Source organism: Homo sapiens, chromosome 22 (genome assembly GCF_000001405.40).
Source record: "Homo sapiens chromosome 22, GRCh38.p14 Primary Assembly".
Lineage (NCBI taxonomy): Eukaryota > Metazoa > Chordata > Mammalia > Primates > Hominidae > Homo > Homo sapiens.
The window spans coordinates 35,833,497-35,851,500 of record NC_000022.11 but is presented as its reverse complement, the minus strand read 5'-3'; the positions used below and the strand labels follow the sequence as shown (position 1 = coordinate 35,851,500).

At 37.6% G+C, this 18,004-nt stretch overlaps 1 protein-coding gene and 1 pseudogene across 57 annotated transcripts in view; both read left to right on the top strand.

Annotated features, from left to right (window-relative positions):
* RBFOX2 (RNA binding fox-1 homolog 2) overlaps nucleotides 1–18,004 on the top strand; it is a 290,089-nt gene that overhangs the window by 177,324 nt on the left and 94,761 nt on the right. For 13 of the 57 annotated variants that reach the window (XM_017028698.2, XM_047441256.1, NM_001082576.3 and 10 more), the window contains exon 1: nucleotides 11,037–11,309. The exons of 41 other annotated variants lie outside the window; for them this stretch is intronic. In XM_017028698.2, the coding sequence (XP_016884187.1) occupies nucleotides 11,283–11,309 (27 nt within the window). In that variant the 5' untranslated portion in view covers nucleotides 11,037–11,282. Of the gene's footprint in view, nucleotides 1–1,377; nucleotides 1,930–11,036; nucleotides 11,310–18,004 lie in introns of those variants that run through there. 3 more of the 57 variants (XM_047441257.1, XM_017028691.2, XM_017028690.2) reach the window with 1 other exon arrangement.
* On the top strand, nucleotides 12,804–13,226 carry RPL41P3 (ribosomal protein L41 pseudogene 3; annotated as a pseudogene).

Here is an 18,004-nt window from a genome sequence, read left to right as displayed (position 1 = left end):
TTACAATATTTAGTTTTGTGCTGTAGCATTGTTTTGCTTTTTGGCTTTGCCTGTGTCCTTATCTATTTCTCCCATAAACTGTGAATTCATTGACAACAGAACTGTGTTCATTTCTCCAGGGCTTAGTACAATATTTTGTCTGCAATAGATGTTCAATAAATGTTTTATTAATTATACTGAATAGATTTATTCTTGTTCTTCATGTGTAATGCACATAGAATCAGTACCAGCAAATTGAAGATAATCGAGTATAGTGGTCCTCCTAATCTGTTAGAACTGAGTTCAGGTAAATGTTTAACCAAGAATACCATCAAAATATGCTATAGCCATTTTGACTCTTAAAAATCTGTTTCTTCTGAACAATCCTAAAATAAATTACAGTGACCGTAAAAGGAGAAGAATTACACTGATGGGGGCGGGGCATGGAGGGCATGGTAATACTTAAATTCTCACAGATGCCCTCACAGTTGCATTTAATCCTCATGGTTTAATCATCCAAAAGCATGTTACAATATTACTGGCTCTCCACGATTAGGGACGTCATAGCCCCTGAAACTTATTTAGAATTATTTACCATTTTGAAATTTTGAATGCTTGTTCCAAATAGAAGATTTCGTAGGATCAATAGTTACAACTGGTTTGTCTTTTAATAAACATTAATTTTCACTTTCTGCTCACTCTGTGTCCTTTTTCTAAGGATTACTTAGCAGTTTTCTGATTTTTGATGGGCCATTTAGGCTCTGAAAGCCAACTCTTGAACCTATTGTGCTTTGTCAGACAAACCTAACACCTGTCCATGTTTGTTACTGCTTTTAATATCTGTTATAGAAATATGTGTGCACATGTGTATTTGTATATAATGGCAGGGTGGGTATAGCAGCTCCCTAAAAGGAGAAAAGCAACTGGCTTTTCTGAAAAGACCTTTCCACCCCCACCTTTTTGCAGACAGCCGGAGTTAATCCTTCCAAGTTTGACTGGAACAGCTGAGCAAGTGTACCCTGCATATCTGGAGGCCTCCAGTGGACTCATGTTGCCTCAGAGTTGGGGCCACTTTCTTCTTTTCTAGTGCTGATCCTGCCAGCTGTCCTAACCTCTGTTAAAGCACAGCGAGGGAGGTGTTAAATGATACAAAAACATACAGTGTCATGAAAGGGATCCCCTTACTGCGTGTATCAGTGTGACTTTTTTCTCCCATTCCTTTCCGTGGCAGAAAGGTTTTATACTGTTAATCCTAACACCTGTCTCTGCCGGAGACAGTGAGAAGGGTGTGTGTGTGTGTGTGTGTGTGTGTGTGTGTGTGTGTGTGTATGAGAGAGAGACAGAGAATGCGCATGCGTGCACACGGGTACATGCTCCCCGCCCAAGAAAGAATAGAGTAGTAATACCAGTCCCATCTGCCTTTCTGTGTCCTGGATTGGGAGTATTCTCTGACGCACTTAAAGCCTGGAACATATATATTATTTTGGCTCCTGGATACCTTAGACTTCCTACCGTGTTTGTGTGCCAGTGTGAGGAGCCTGTGTTCCCTTCCCTGGCTGTCATTCTCTGCCTCTTGAGTTTCTGGTTGAGTTGTCAATTTAAAAACCAACAGTAACAGCAAATCTCCAGTGTAGTTTTCAGTCTGTAACTAGTAACTCAAAGCTTTTTGCTTTTTTCTGAACATCTCTTCTGTGTATTGTCAAATCCTGTTGGGGTGGAGGCCTGGTCTCAACCAAGCTCCGACTTCATCAGCTGAGCCAGCATACCTATCTGCGTAGACTGGAGGTCAGCGAAGGATTTTTTTGGTGCTACCTAGTTCCTTTGGACAGGACAGCCAGCGCAAACAAGGCAAAAACTTAGACACTTTTTGTACTGTCCTTATCTGAAGATTTTTTCCCTTTTGCTATGTATGGTGTATATTGTATGGATTATCAATATCCTGTTGTCCAGGTAAGCTAAGGGTTATAATTTCTAGATACTGTTTGATTTATGTGAAGCTTTATGGTGGAATGAAATGCCTACAAGGCTTTCTGTCTTTTGACCCGGTACCATTCAGAGCCTAGCTTTCCCAGTGCTTTTTGCTAATTTACTGTAATAAGAGGATTTAATTTATAGTATTGGCGGCCAGACAAAGGTGGTTGGCATTCACCCCTAGAAGTTCTGAAACTTTGGAGAGATTCTGTGTGTCTGTGTGTGTGTGTGTGTGTGTGTGTGTGTGTGTGTTTGTGTGTGTATGTGTGTGTGTGTGTTTTGAACCAGGTGGGCTGGACAATATAAATGTAATGTAAAAAACCCATCATATTATGATAAACTTTAGGCTTTGTTTTGAGCAGATGAGAGGCACAGTTGGCAGTTTCCAAATGTTGTATTTTCCAGAAAGGTAATATATAAAGTAGAGGGCATCTTTCCCCACTAAGACTATTTTTAGTCTAACGTTTTAGACTATTTTGTGATGACATTAGTAACATCTTATTTGTTAACTTGTTGAAATTTAGAATCAGAAAATGTTAGGTCATTGCCAAGCATATTTCTGAATATCTTATAGTAAGAAAAATTGAAGTTAGGAGTCCTGGATTCTGGTTCCAGCAATAGAGTTAACCACCACCATGTTCATGCTCAAATAACTTCAATTTTTCTTGACTTTAGTTTTGTTGTATATAAAATGAAGGAGTTGGGCCAGATGACCTCTGAGCTATCATGATTTTTTGAAATATTGTGATGGAAACCTAGAATAAGAAAATAAATACAGTTAATACAATTAATTCTGAATTAAAGATACTACTTGGTCTGTCAGTTTGTTTTAGTTTGTTTTCATGTTCCTTTAATTATTTTTTTCTTTCAAATAGCCATTTCTCTAATAATTAGCACCTATGTTGCAGGTTGGACCGGAATGCATAGAGTTAAAAGAAATAATGGACTAACTAGTACATCTTATTAGGTATTTTGGGCCTAAAGGCCCAAGCTATTTTGGATTGGGCCTGTTGGGTAAGCTCTCTGGAGTAAACTTACAGCTTTCATTCAAGTCTAAAGCTATCAATATTGCAATCATATGGCAGTGGCTGTGATTATGTTTCTCTTTAACTATATTCTAATAGAGGTCTATATTATATGTTTTATATTAATGATATAACTGTTTCTGTTATTTTGGATTATTCAAATTAAGAGTATTTTATATTTACGATAATGAGGTTTTGATATATTTGTGGATTTCACTTATCTATGAACTGTATCTCTACTGACATAAAACAATAGCTTGGGCTTTGTAACAGCTTAAGGCTGGAAGTGTTATGAGACTAGATTAGAACCAGGTCTTTTTACAAGTAAATATTAATGTGCTTTCAATGAGAAACATCTGTGAACAGTAAATTTCTGACCCACAACCAGCAAAGTATGGGAATTATAGTAACTATAACATAAGTAAAATTCTTTGAGGAAAAAGTTGAAAAAGTAAAAATGTTTCCCAAGTGAATTGAAGTATTAGACATATATGAAAAAATAATTACAGTATGTAATTGAATTTTTTGAGGAAGGAAATTGACCATCTCCCCCTCCCAATTTTGGGGTGGATTAAAGAGTTCCTGTTCAGAAATTATGACATGGTTTGATGAAAGTCTTTTGCAGCAAAATTCTAATCAATATTCATAATAAGATGAATTTTCCACCCCCAATTTTTTTGGTTATTAGTATTTAGTACTGATAAATGTAGTGCACAGTATTTGAAACTACACTTTCCTGGCTTTACTCCATTTGTAGGTTTATTCTATCTGAAATTAACGTCGTTTAGAAATGGAGGTAATGGGATATTAAAATTTAAGGGTTTACTCTCCATTCTGCCACATAGGAAAGCTAATGGGATTAAAAAAAAACAATTTTAAATTGAAGGATCCCAAGCTATTTTACAATCTTATTTATTACTTTTTTAAAGTAACAGTTTTTTTCAGTGCATTTATAAATGAGTAGTAGATGGTTGGTTACTACCCAAACTCTTAACTACAGTTATAAAATGTTTTTAGCTTCTTTTATATATTCTTTTGCTTAGTTAAATCCAAGCTTTCCATTGCATAATGCTTGCAGTTTCATACTAATGCATTATACAGTTGGACGTTATGGAGGACATGATTGAACAGTATTTCTTTTAATGAAAGGTTTTACATCTATTTTTAATTAAGTTATTTCTAGAATTGCTAGTTTTGAGTTAATGAAACAAAGTGAGTTCTCTTCAACAGAAAGTTCGAAAATATTTTAGGTACTTGACCTTTCATTGCTAAATCATGCCTATTTTAAGAGTGTGCCATTGAAAATGATTATTTTATTAGTTATAATTTTCGTAGAACCTAGTCTGGCCAAATTAGTTTAAAATCAGGCAGAGTAAGGAGATACAGGCTTGCTTGTGATTTAAGGGACAATGAATGTAGTCTCCCTGCCCAGACAAATCTATTTAAGAAACTGTTCCTGAAGTTATTCTTATAGACAGTCTTTCAGATTAAACATTTACTGCCTCTGATCAGATGGTTAAAATGTAACTTGTTGCAAGTTAAGGGTATTGTCTTTTATCACAGGTTTTCCTTAGGCACTTTTACTTAACCTGTCATCCAAGTGGTGAATGGGGCAGTTGGAGGAAGAGGAAACAGGGTCTTAAATTATTGGAGGTATAGCTAAATTTCCTGATTTGAGGGTTTAGGGTAGCCAAGGACAGCTTAAGGATATTAGGCATCTAGAAAATTGAGAGACAGAAATTTACCTATCTAAAGGACACTTTTTCTTTTGAAACAGAGTTTCTTTCTTGTCACCCAGGCTGGAGTGCAGTGGTGTTATCTCGGCTCACTGCAACGTCTGCCTCCCGGGTTCAAGCAGTTCTCCTGCCTCAGCCTCCCAAGTAGCTGGGATTACAGGTGGGCATCACCACACCCAGCTAATTTTTTTTTTTTTGTATTTTTAATAGAGACAGGGTTTCACCATGTTGGTCAGGCTGGTCTTGAACTCCCATCCTCGGGTGATCCACCTCCTCGGCCTCCCAAATTACAGGCGTGAGCCACTATGCCCAGCCTAAAGGACACTTTTGATATTGAGGTATGCTCAGGTCCTCAAAATGCTGTAGAGTATATTAGGCTCTCCATTTCTTCATGGGAAGTTGACCTTGGTGTTAAGCAGTACACACACACACACACACACACACACACACACACACACAACTATATAAATTTATTTACTTATATAGTTTATACTTATATAGTTTGTGTAATTATATTAACTTATATAGTTTATACTTACATAGTTATATAATTATATTAACTTATATAGTTTATACTTATATAGTTTATGTAATTATATTAACATATGCAAGTTTATAATTATAGTGTATGTAATTATATTAACATATGCAAGTATAGTTTATACTTATATAGTTTATGTAATTATATTAACATGCAAGTTTATACTTATATAGTGTATGTAATTATATTAACATATGCAAGTATAGTTTATACTTATATAGTTTATATAATTATATTAACATGCAAGTTTATATAATTTATATAAATTGAATTTATTTTCTCATTCTGAATTAGTTTATTGTGTACCAACTGTTTTTTGAGTACCTACTGTGTGCCAGATACTATGCCAGACACAGGGATATTAGTGGTGAACAAGACAACAAAGTTTCCTGTAACTTAATAATAGAGGCATGGCATATTCGTGGCATGCCGTTGGATAAAGAGCAGTCTTCAATTTTCACAGATTAATCATGTATTATCTTCTTGACAACCCAGTTATTGATAAATTTGTTTACATCCCATCCATTTTCATATTTGTCTGAGAACCTTTTCCTTAATCCCTCACAGGGATGTGTACAATGTACACATAATTTCAGTTGTATGTATGACTCTAGTTATCTGGGGTTTGGGATTTCTTAAAGATATGAATAAGTTACCCAAAGACATGTAGTAATTTGTGAATTAAATTTTTTGATTTGCCTGGCCTCACTGATGTCTTAGTTTATGTTATTTGTGGTTTTGTGCTAAAGGTTTGACTTTGGGGAACAGGAAATAAATGAGGATTGTTTTTTATAAGCCTATAAGATCTAAAGCATTTGATTTCAAATTTCACACTCACTTTTTTTTTTTTTTGAATGGTGAATGGGTTCTATATGACTGAACTCTGCCTAAACTAGAGAAATAAAGTTAGGGAAATAATAGAGTTAGCTGTAATTTGACTTCATTTATGTTAAGGGGAATGTTGGGGCAAAGGATATTAAAGTGGTATTGTATTAGAGGTGCTTCTGGAAAGGTATTTAATATCTGTTAGGTGTAAATTGTTATTTACACTTAGTTAGGGTTATTGTGTGGGGGCGTGCCGTGAAGAGCCTTTATACCAACAAGTTTTTATTATTGCAGGAAATGCTCTCCCTTTAATGTTGCCTTTCACTTGGGTGTCAGAGGCAGCCTGGGAAAGTTGGAGCAAGCCCTGCCTTGTAGACAGGGACTCTTAGATCCACTTTTATAGCAGTGCTGGTATGTGGGTGGAAGGTAGGGAAGCTGAGTTACTTCTGTATGACAAGAACACCTAAAAAAAATTTTTTTTAAATGAGTGGGTATTATTTTGTCTAGAATCTGAACTATTCTAATAAAATTGAAAATAAAGCCTTTCTCCCACTCTTTTTGTACATCTTCCTTTCAGCTTCAGATTTCTGAAAGATACTGAAAATAAAACTGAAGTAAGGCCAGGCGCGGTGGCTCACGCCTGTAATCCCAGCACTTTGGGAGGCCAAGACGGTTGGATCACCTGAGGTCAGGAGTTCAAGACCAGCCTGGCCAACATGGTGAAACATATCTCTACTAAAAATGCAAAAAAAAAAAAAAAAAACTGCCGGGCATGGTGGTGTGTGCCTGTAATCCCAGCTACTTGGGAGGCTGAGACAGGAGAATCGCTTGAACCTGGGAGGTGGAGGTTGCAGTGAGCTGAGATCGTGCCACTGCACTCCAGCCTGGGCAACAGAGCGAGACTCCACCTCAAAAAAAAAAGTGAAGTAAATTTATAAATTTGAAGATATCTCCAAGTGCGCTCTTGGAAGAAAGAATGCTTTTATAATATTTTGATAACTACATAGGTGCTCTTCATTCTGATGTATCCATGTGTGAATAAATAAATGGCTAGAGTAATAGAAATCAAGGCATTATTGTTTGATTTCAACAAACATTCATTTACTGTGTATTCAGATACTGGGTTAAGAACTGGGGATATAGTATAAAACATGATTTCTACCCTCAGACTGCTCATAGTCTAGTCATAGTTATGCAGAACAGTAACTCCAACCGTTATGTACCATGGATTAGGTGCTAAGGTAAAGTATGCTCACAGATAAGGGTACCTAAACCAGATGTGGGAGCAAGTAGGGTCAGGAAAGGCTTTCTGGAGTAGGGGATTTCTGAAGTAAGCCTTGAAGGATGAATAACCCATATAGTCGGCCATATTCAAGGGAAAAAGAATAGAAACATGGTGTTCAGAAGAGATGTATGTGCTCAAAAATAGAAATGTGGGAGCCGTCAGGGTAAATTCTTGGTAACTGAAGTGATAGAATGAGTTGGAACACCTTGAGCAAGTGTGGTCAGCAATGTTAACTTCTTTGAGGTTTGGACCCTTTTGAGAATCTGATAAATACTACAGATCCTCTCTGCGTGGAAATGCATATAAGAAAAATTTCTACTGGGGTGCCTGTGTTAGGAACCATGCACTTTGGGTTAAGAACCTCTGGTGTGCAGTAAAAAGAGATCTGAGGATGACACCTTGCAAGTAACAACAACAATTGAGAGGATGGTAGAGGAGGAAGAAGAGTACGATGGAGAAGAGGGTGAACAGGGAAAGAGGAAAGTTAAGAAAGACTGGTATCATTTTAAGTTAAGAGTGAGAGTTTCCCAAAGGAGGGAATGCCAAATACCACAGACAAATCAAAGAAGACATAAAATGTCCATTAAATTTGGCCATGATTTGGAGGTCTTCAGTGACTTCAGTAAGGTAAATTTCAATTGAGTAGTATGGAGGAAAGGAAGCTGGGGTTCTGGAGATTGGATGAAACACTCAAAGAGTTGAGACTACAGGGAGAAGTACCTCTTTCCTTCATTTGTTTATTTAATAAATATTTCTTGAGTACTTACCACGTCCCAGACACTGTCCTGAAAGCTGGGGATTTGTCCATGGAGAAGGCAGGGCCTCCTTCATTAGCTGACATCTCATCGTGCCCACCCTGTTCCAAAGCTTCCCAGCCCCTGCCTGTCTCTCTCCTCCCAAACACACATACAGGAAATGTCCTAAAATGATTTTCTCCTTGGTACATTACCGGGCACATTCAGCCACCAGGGGACTCCAGTTTTGCTGGGTCAGACCCAGGCTGCTCAATTGCTCTTCTCTCTCTTGGACACCAGGGAGCAAATTGTCCTCTATAATACCAGGGACACACTTCAAAATATCATTGTGCCAGTCAGACCTCACTATGAGCCTGTCATTCAGTGAGTTTATAAAAATCATTGTAACATTTTTTTTAAGCTTGTACCAATTCTTTCCTGTAATAAATTTTTAAGCCTATTTGCACTGTAAAATATTGGTTCTAAATGTAGAAAAGTAGCATGAATTCCTGGCCTGAGGAAACCTTTATCCTAGTCTTGGACTTTTTGCATGTGGGGACCCCTCATTTGCCCTTTTCTTTAAAAACAAAATAAAACAAAACAAAAAAACTCCTTGGGGCCTTGTCTCTTTCCATGATGTATGGAGGCTGCAGTCACACCTAAGTGTCAAGGTAGCTGCTGCTTTTCTAAGGATGGGGGCGGGGGACATTGTGGGGGAGATGCTATCTTCTTAGTGCCCCAGGCTTTTTGTCAAGAATAGTGTAATAAACCAGAGGATTCAGAGAATGATACACAGTGATTCTGAGGTTTATTTCAATTATTAGAACTGAAAACACAGTTATCCCATTAGTATGATTCAAGATTTTTTCCAAAAATACACTGGGTTGCTCTTGCTTCCAGTGAAACTCACCTGCCCATTTTCTGCTTACTCACTTTGTCTTTAGAAAATTTGACTGCTTTTTATCTCCTTCTGATTGGCTTTTCAGTTGCAAATTCAGAGAGTACTATATATTCTGTGTTCCAGGTCACTTCTAAAAAGTGTTAAATAAGAACAGGCCTAGTACTTATCTATATTACTTTACTCAGCGTTTTTCCTAATATTTGAAGATCTCATTCTTTTTAAAATTATTACTATGGATTATGCCACAAGTATACAGATATCTGTAAAATGCACAGAATAGAGCCTGATATACTATGTTACATCAGTTTCTCCAGGTTCCACAGATGGTCCTGTATTTCCTGTGTTCCTTTCAGAATTGTTAAAATGATTATTAATTTAGGAGCGGGTGTAATGATGTTGTATTGGCAGTGTGCCAGCCAATGGTGTTATACAACACATTTTTTTAATTTTAAAATTTTAAAAATTGAATTCACAATAGAGATAGGGATTTGCCATGTTGCCTTGGCTGGTCTTGAGCTTCTGGGCCCAAGAAATCCACCAGCCTTAACCTCCCAAAGTGCTGGGATTACAGGTATGAGACACTGCGCCTGGCCAATACAGAACATTTTTAAAAGCCTGGTACTGCATGTTGCCAAACAGTCCTTATGGAGACAGCAAAAAACTATGTATTCTCAGTGTGATTTGTTATTTTGAATTTAGATTTCTGTAGATGTTTATTTTTTAAATGGAGAGCTCGTGTTGTTAGCCGTGGGCTTGTAAAAAATAAAAATAGATAAAAATTAAAAATGGGAAGCTTAATTTTGGAATTAATCTTTTTAACCTTTGGGTAGTCTTTTAGAAAGTATATCCTAAAAATACATAGCATAACTAAAATATCTCATAAATCCTTCAGAATGAGCTATTTATTAGAATGCTGTAAAAAATTAGAAAATCTTAATTTTATGAGACAACTGATAAACTCATCATTTTATAAATTGTTTTATTTGAATGTGTGATAATATAAAATAGGGAAATTATGAAGTTTATATTCAGAGGTTAAAGATTTTTCCAAGATCACTAGTAAAGGGCAGAATTAGACCAACTTCTGGACTGAACCACATCTTTGATGCATTTTTTAATTATATTATTTTAATAAGAGAACTTTAAAGAAACTCTTATTGTCAGTATTCTCCTAAACCTGTAGCTACAGCATTCTATAACAATTACTATTTACAATAATGACACAAATTTCTAGGGTATATATAAGAAAGGATTTACCTTTTTCAATAAAGGCTGAAACATAGAAGGCTGGAGAAAACAAAAGGTGAATTTTCAGTTAACCAAAATTTTATTGAAGCTGGAAGCCTTAAGCAAATTTGCATGCACCTTTGTGTATCTCTTAAGTTTCTTAAGCAGTCATATTTGTAGACACCTTTTTCAGAGTCTCCAGGTATTTTTTATAGTAGGAAAAAAATCATTTAAATTACCTCTCATTACCTGTGTCCTCTCTTTTAGTCCTTTGCTCTCACTAGGCTGGTTTGGTCTTCCAGGACAAGCAAGTTCTTGCATATTCCTGTTCCTTGAAAAACCTTCCAGTTAGTGGTCATGTAATAGCTTTTCACTTCTTCACATCTTTCTTGTTAAATCCACTGCATCTATAAACTGTACATCAGTAAAAATGTTTTATTAATATTAAAAATAATTTTGTTTCATTTCTTATTTGACATTCATGGCTGGAATCTCTTAAATCTGTATGAACTATAGTAAGCTGCTATGAATGCTTCCAGTGCTATATAATTAATTCCATCATCGCATCCTTAAAATATGCCAGCACATGGCGCTTGCCCCTCCCTACCTCCTCCCCCCTACACACACACACACACACACACACACGCACACACGCACACACGCGTGCGCACAGCGTACACCAAACTGCCATTCTCCAGCAGGCCTGCTTCTGGAGTTGGGAGATGTCAGCCTGCTGGGAGGGGGTGGGGGGAGGAGGAAGAGGTGGGGCTCTACTCTGATTAATTACCTTAGGCATTCAGGGGTGGGGCTTCCTTCAGCCATCTGCCTGAGATATGGGAGGGAGCTGGAGAAAGAAGGAGGGGGAGAGACTGCCAGAGAGGAAGAGAAAAGAAAGGAAGAAACATTAGAAAGAAAAAGGAAGGAAAACGGTATAAAGAGAGATCAATTACCCACCCTTAAATAGCTAGATTGGGGGGGGAGGGGGGTGGAAAAGAAAGCTGTGGAGGTGTGCCCCAGCACGGCTGCTTTGAAAGGTTTATCATCTATCCGTTTGGTTTATGGAGAAAAAGAAAATGGTAACTCAGGTAAGATTTGTGCTTCCTCGGCATGTTTCTTTTCTCCTCTCTGGGATCTAAATAAAGGTTTGAGGGTGGAGTATAGTAAGAAGAGTTTTAATCATTATTGTCTTCTTAGAACAGACCAGATTTATTGTTATCAGCTGAAAAGTCTGTGTCTGTTGAGTCCGTTTATGTGTGTGTTATGTATCCGTATCCTTTCTTCCCCCTCCCTCAACTCCATAGCAGATTCCTGTTTCCTGTACTGTGCAGCTGTAGCTCAGGAAAGACCCTGTGGGGATTTGTCTACCTCTTTGTCTTGGTTCTGAGAAGAGGGAGGGAGAGAAAGACTGCAGAGGTAGGAAGAGATTCTTGTAGACTGCCAAAAAGAGGGGAGCAGGATTCCTTTTAAGAATTTCAGAAGAATTTGTGTTATAGGGAAATCTGATTCCTTGTTCACTTTGGTTTCTCAGGATTGGCTATGGAATTGTAGTTTTGCTGTTACTCTAAACTGCTTATTAAAAATGAAGGTTAGAAAAGAATGTTTCATTTTCATGCCTTTGTTACTGGCAAAGAAAATTTTCAGTAGGAGCATTCAGGTGTGACAGAGGCAGGTAGAGCCCTCCTTGACAGGAGAACGAATCTGAATGTATAAATCACAATCACACAGGCTTTAAAATACATTTGAAGGAGAGAGAGTAGGAAATGGAAGATACCTCTCCTCCCTCTGTCTCCCCTCTCGTTTTTCTCTCTTCTCTTCTCTCTCTCCCACTCCCACTCACTCTCTCCCCCAACCCCCTCAATCCCCCTTTCTCTCCTCATCCTTTTCCCCTCTTTCTCCCTGCCTCTTTTTGGTTATGCCAGGCAATATCTAATCTGCATTTTAGCAAGTCATTCCTGACAAATGGAAAGGTGAATGCTCTTCCACAGTTCTCCCTGGCAAGGCAATTTTTCTTGTTAGCATCCTTCTGTACGCTCCATTACCCTTTTTCCTTTATGTATAGGTTAAGAGGAAATGATGAGGCTCTGATTTATCAATGAGAAATCATTTACACTGTAGGACATTCAAATCCTTTAGTCTCAGACTTAAGATCAGTTTCACTCCAGGTTTCTATGCTCTGTGGAAATTTCATCACTGGACAGTGCTTTCCTTTTAAGGAGGTTGCCCTTTTTTTGTGTTCTCTCTTCTCTTCCTCTCCCAGTAACCACCGGAGGGCGAGAGAGCCAGCTAGTTATCAGGATGGAGGCATCATTTTAGGAGCTGGAATCCTGTTTAGTTATATAATGCCCTGCAGTGCTGTTTGGAAGGAGGGAAACCTGTAGGGATATTTTCCCATTGGGACCCAGAGGAAAGAAGTTTCAAATATATCTTTTCAAAGTAATTTTTCACCAAATCTGAGTTTAGAAAATTTCAACAAACTCCTTCCTCTTTTGGAAAAGCGGAGAAGCTTTTGAAATGTTTCTCTTCCATGTGTTATCCCCTCATCATCAGTCTAATTACCTCTTTTGAAATACTGCTTTATGCTCTCGGCCTTAGCGCCATTTTTTTGGAAACCTCTGTGCCATGAGAGCCAAGTGGAGGAAGAAGCGAATGCGCAGGCTGAAGCGCAAAAGAAGAAAGATGAGGCAGAGGTCCAAGTAAACCGCTAGCTTGTTGCACCGTGGAGGCCACAGGAGCAGAAACATGGAATGCCAGACGCTGGGGATGCTGGTACAAGTTGTGGGACTGCATGCTACTGTCTAGAACTTGTCTCAATGGATCTAGAACTTCATCGCCCTCTGATCGCCGATCACCTCTGAGACCCACCTTGCTCATAAACAAAATGCCCATGTTGGTCCTCTGCCCTGGACCTGTGACATTCTGGACTATTTCTGTGTTTATTTGTGGCCGAGTGTAACAACCATATAATAAATCACCTCTTCCGCTGTTTTAGCTGAAGAATTAAAAAAAAAAAAAGAAAAGAAATACTGCTTTATTTTTTAAAAAAAATTTACATAAAAGATAAATCCTGTTTCTGGATTCTCTTTTTGCTTGGGAGATGATACTTGCTTAACCTTAGAGCCCTCATTCAATTTTTATTAACTGGCAATATTAGAGGGTAACAGCTCTCTTCTTGCTTAGCAATTACTGAAGGCTTTTCAATGACTTGACTTTTCATTATTTATTTTTTAAACTAGTGAAAGAATGATCTAAAATGGAAATTTTTATGATGAGTTTTCTATTGCCTCTTGGAACATTTCCCCTTAGTTTCTAGAGGAGCTGGTAAGTGTAGTGTGTGTGACCATTAAGTTAGAGTGCACATGCTTATGCACACTTAATATTGTGGTCGTAATAATTAGTATTTAAAGAAGCCATAAGTTTAGGAATGAAGTAGAAGAAATAAATGGAAACTGGAAAGAGAGATTCTGGGGTGCTTAATAATTCTAATAATAAAATCACCTGTTTTATCAGGATGTGCTAAATATTGAAGAAAAGTTATGAGTTTTTGCCCATCCTGAAATTATACAACTGGCAAGGATAGAATATCAAATTTGTGAATTTTCAGTATTCCAGCGTATTTGTTTTGTTGTATATACTTTCTGTGTTAATGTAATGTACATAGTTGTTAGTAATCTAGGGGGAAAACAATCAAAGGAAATAACCAGCTGGGCCAAGTCTTTCATTTGTCCTGTGGTTGTGTTGTGTTGTGCCTGCGTGTGTGTGTGTGTGTGCACATGTGTGTGTGTGTGTGTTTGAGCCAGACATCCAATCCCAACATTTGATAATGACCTGTCACATAAGCTTTCTCAATATAGAATGTCTATACTGGTGGTTAGGCCTGGGTTTTCAAAGTTAAACGGTTTATTACAATGTAAGAGCGATGTATGGATGTGTTTTCACTGTTTTGCTACTTAGGTTCTTTGCATCTTCAGATGATACCATCTCTGTAGTCCCCAGTTTCCATTGCTCAGCTGTTGGAAAAGGGCTTTCAGTGAATGACTTTTTCATCATACCATATTAGATCCTTGTCAGTATTTGCACAGTGTATGCGCTTTATTATTACATATGCTCTACTTTTATAGGGCCTGTTTTTGTTTTAATTATCAAACTACTCTGTCATTTATAGTAAGTAATCAGTGCTCTGCTAAAAAGCAAATGGCAATTTAATCACAAAATTCTAATATAGCCGATAGACATGCTTATGTGATACTTAAAACGTTAATTTTATCGGCTGTTCATGTGTATGTTGTAGGAGTATTTCACTGAGATCTCTTATTTTTTGGGCATATAGACCAGATTATTGCATCTCATATTTATGAAAATAGCAATATGGAATATGAAGGAAAGATAAATCATTCTTGTACTATGTGTAAAATTCGAAAAACAAAATTGCAAATGACTTCAACACTAATTAGTAAAAAATAAATGTTTAGCCAAACTCAAATTCAGTTATACTATCTATTGTTGAAAGGGAAAGTGTACTAGGCAGAGAGGAAAAGATTTTACAGTATGGATGTGAAAGAAAATTTTTGTACTCTACTATGGTATAAGACTGCCAGTTTCTGTGGAACACAAAGCCCTCCCTTTCTTGGACAGCTCAGTGCTTTGCTGGCATTTTCTTCAAAATCTGTTTTCCATCAGGACCAAGAGGAGGGAAGGTGTTAGGAATAAGGGAGGTTGGAAAGGGGGTTGCTGTTCCTTTAAATAGTGCAGTGAGTCCATGTGGCAGCAGGCCGCTCTGGAGTGTATTCTTTTGTAATGAATCACCAGTTCCATTGTCTGCTATCTCCCCTCTTTGTAGCTGGAAGGCTGAAGTCTTTCACCTGAGCTGCTGCCAGTTCGCTCTTCTGTTCCTGGGTGGTTGGGAGAAGAGAAGAGGGAGGGTATTTTATGCTTTAATTAAAGACAGATAAGAGAGCAGGTATGTTTTGCTTTGTTTCATTTTCTCTTTTCCTGTTTTTGTTTGTCTGGTTTTTGAAAGGAGTTGGAGTAGAGAATCTATTCTGTGATTTTGCTAAGCATATCCCATTTTCTTTGAATTCTGGAGGTCCTCTCAGCATTTAGTCTCCATTTTGTGGCACTGCTTTAAAGTGATTCCATTCGGTTGCCTGCCAGTCATGCTCCCTTGCCACTCGAACCTTATCCCACCCTTCATCCACGGAGCTGCAGCCACACTGTTTGTTTTGGCACACTTTCCACTTTCTATGGGCTTTGCAGGATTTGGGGAGTTGGAGGATAGGCGGGGATTGTGGGTTGGAGACTGAATTTATGTTCCTTTACAATGAAAAAAAAAAGCCTCACTTTTTCCAGAGATTTGGTTTCTTTCTGAATTCTTCTACATTGCTCCATATCTTCAGTTATAATCATTTCTTCGCTGAGGCCAAGATTGTCTCTTGAAAAGTATTGCTTTTCTAAAAATTACTTAGCTTTCTTGAAAAGATAAACAGAATTTCATAAATGAAGCTATGATGAAATCCGAGCAATCTTGACTCATTAAATTGTTTTTTCCGTCTTAGTCACCCCCTAATCACACACACTTTTCTCTTTCTTTTTTGGCCCCCTTCTCTATTTTTTCCTTTATCTTTCTCCTTAGCTTTGCAATTGAGTCTAGGTAAGCTTAATATTTGACAACCTATTACTTAAATTTGTATTGCTACAGGAGACATCTTCATATTGAACAGTAATGACATTCCTCATTCCTCTCAGTGATAAGGCATAAGCTCAAATTCCTGGTTTTGTTCCTCCAGTTTTCTGTTCTCCCCTGAGAAATTCCAAACTCTGATCTACACAGATTGCCATATGTAAACAATTTTATCTCTCTCAAATTTGAACTTTTCATCATGTAATTCCTTACCTAGGGGTTGTTTCTTGGACATCTGTTTATGGTAGACAGATAGTTTCTGGGAACCAGTCATACTAGGTGATACAGCCCCCCCTTACCCACCCTGGTCTCCTTCTGGTATACCATTCCTCTCCGGGATCTGACATTATTGGTATCCCACATGTTCCCTTCCGAAGTCATAATTCCTCACTCTTTTTTTTCAACATTTCCAAACCACTGTCAAATCTTTTTTGAACATTTCCTCCCAACATTTTGTATGTGAAATTTGCCAGGCACAAATACAAGGCTCCCCTGCAGTAAATACTTTGCTCTTTTGATTGTAGCACCTTTCTTAGTGGGCTCCAGTGTTCAACCTCTTCTAGGCAGTGAGAAATGCTGCATTCTGCCATCACAATGTATTGTGTCTATTCCCCAGACTCTTAAATGTTTCTCTATTACTATTAGAATGATTAAATTCAGGAAACTAATTCATTAGAGGTCATTGCCAGAGTGAATCATTTAAAATGCAAGTCTGATTTTGTCATTCCTGTGCTTATACCTTACAGTTGCTCCCCTTCAGTCTCTGAATAAAATCCTGTGACCCTGCATGATCAGGAACCTGGCTGTCTCTCTAGTCTCATCTCCTGCCATCCTTTTCTTTCTGTATTTCATTCTAATGACACTGGCCTCTTTGCTGTTCTCTTAACATGCCTAAGACCCTCCTGCTCAGGACCCTTCTGCTTTTCTCCCTGCCCAAAATGTCTTCCCACTGGTACCCATATGGTTTGTTCTACTCTTGAATATTTCTTCTCAAGGGCGACCTCTCCCTTAACTTTCCTAGCTAAACCAGCACTCCCTCATCACTCCTACCTTCATTCTGCTTTGTCTTCACTTGTCACTGATTTTAGTTCTTACCGTTGATTGTTATATGTTTGTTTGTTGTCTGTCTCCTCCCCGACCCCAAACAGAAGCTCCCTGAGATCAGGATCCTCGTCAGCAGTCTGTTGTATTCCCAGTGTGTAGAACAGTGCCTGGCACATAGTCATAATAAAAATAGCTAATCTTTATATATGCTTATGATGCATTAATATCAGATACCGTTCTAAGCACTTTACCCTCATTAACTCATTGAATCCTCTCAGCAGCTCTGTGTTATCTCCATTGTACAAAAGAGGAAACTAGGCATATGACGGTTAAGTAACTTGCCCAAGTTCAGACAGCTACTAAGAGATGTTGTGGGGAATGATATCCAGACAGACTGGCTTAGAAATTGATATTCTTAACCACTGTACTCTAATGCCCCTTGTAGGTATTGGGTATTCAGTAAATATTTGTTGAATGTGTGAATAAATTAATTTAGTTGAGACTCTGATTCATTTCTGAAATTTCCATCCCTGACTTAAGACTTTGATAAAACACTTGCAGTAATGGAATTCATTGTTGAATAAGATTACTTCATTCTTATAATATGTAATAAAGTATACATTATTCTATGATAAAAATATTAATATTATCTAATAATACTAAATAATAATGCAGAGCACATACTGTGCATTAAGCATTGTCTTAAGTGCTTTACATATTTTAGAGCATTTATTCCACTCAGCAGCCTTATATACTTACTCAGCAGTACTATTAATGTCCATGTTGTAGAAATTAGGAAACCCAAGGAGTTTGGCTCCAGCATTTCTGTTCTTAACCACCACTAATAATGACCATTATAAAAATGTTTTTGTTTTTTTATACCTACTTTGTGCCAGTCAATTTTACATACATAGCACATTTACAAACATAATTATTCATATTATGTATCACTTGTCAATCATCTTTGAGATAGGTGAGGTTTTTCCCATTTTTTGCAGGAGACTTTGAGATTCTAAAGATCAGGCAGCCTGGAAACAGAGAGAGATAGGTTTCAAACTG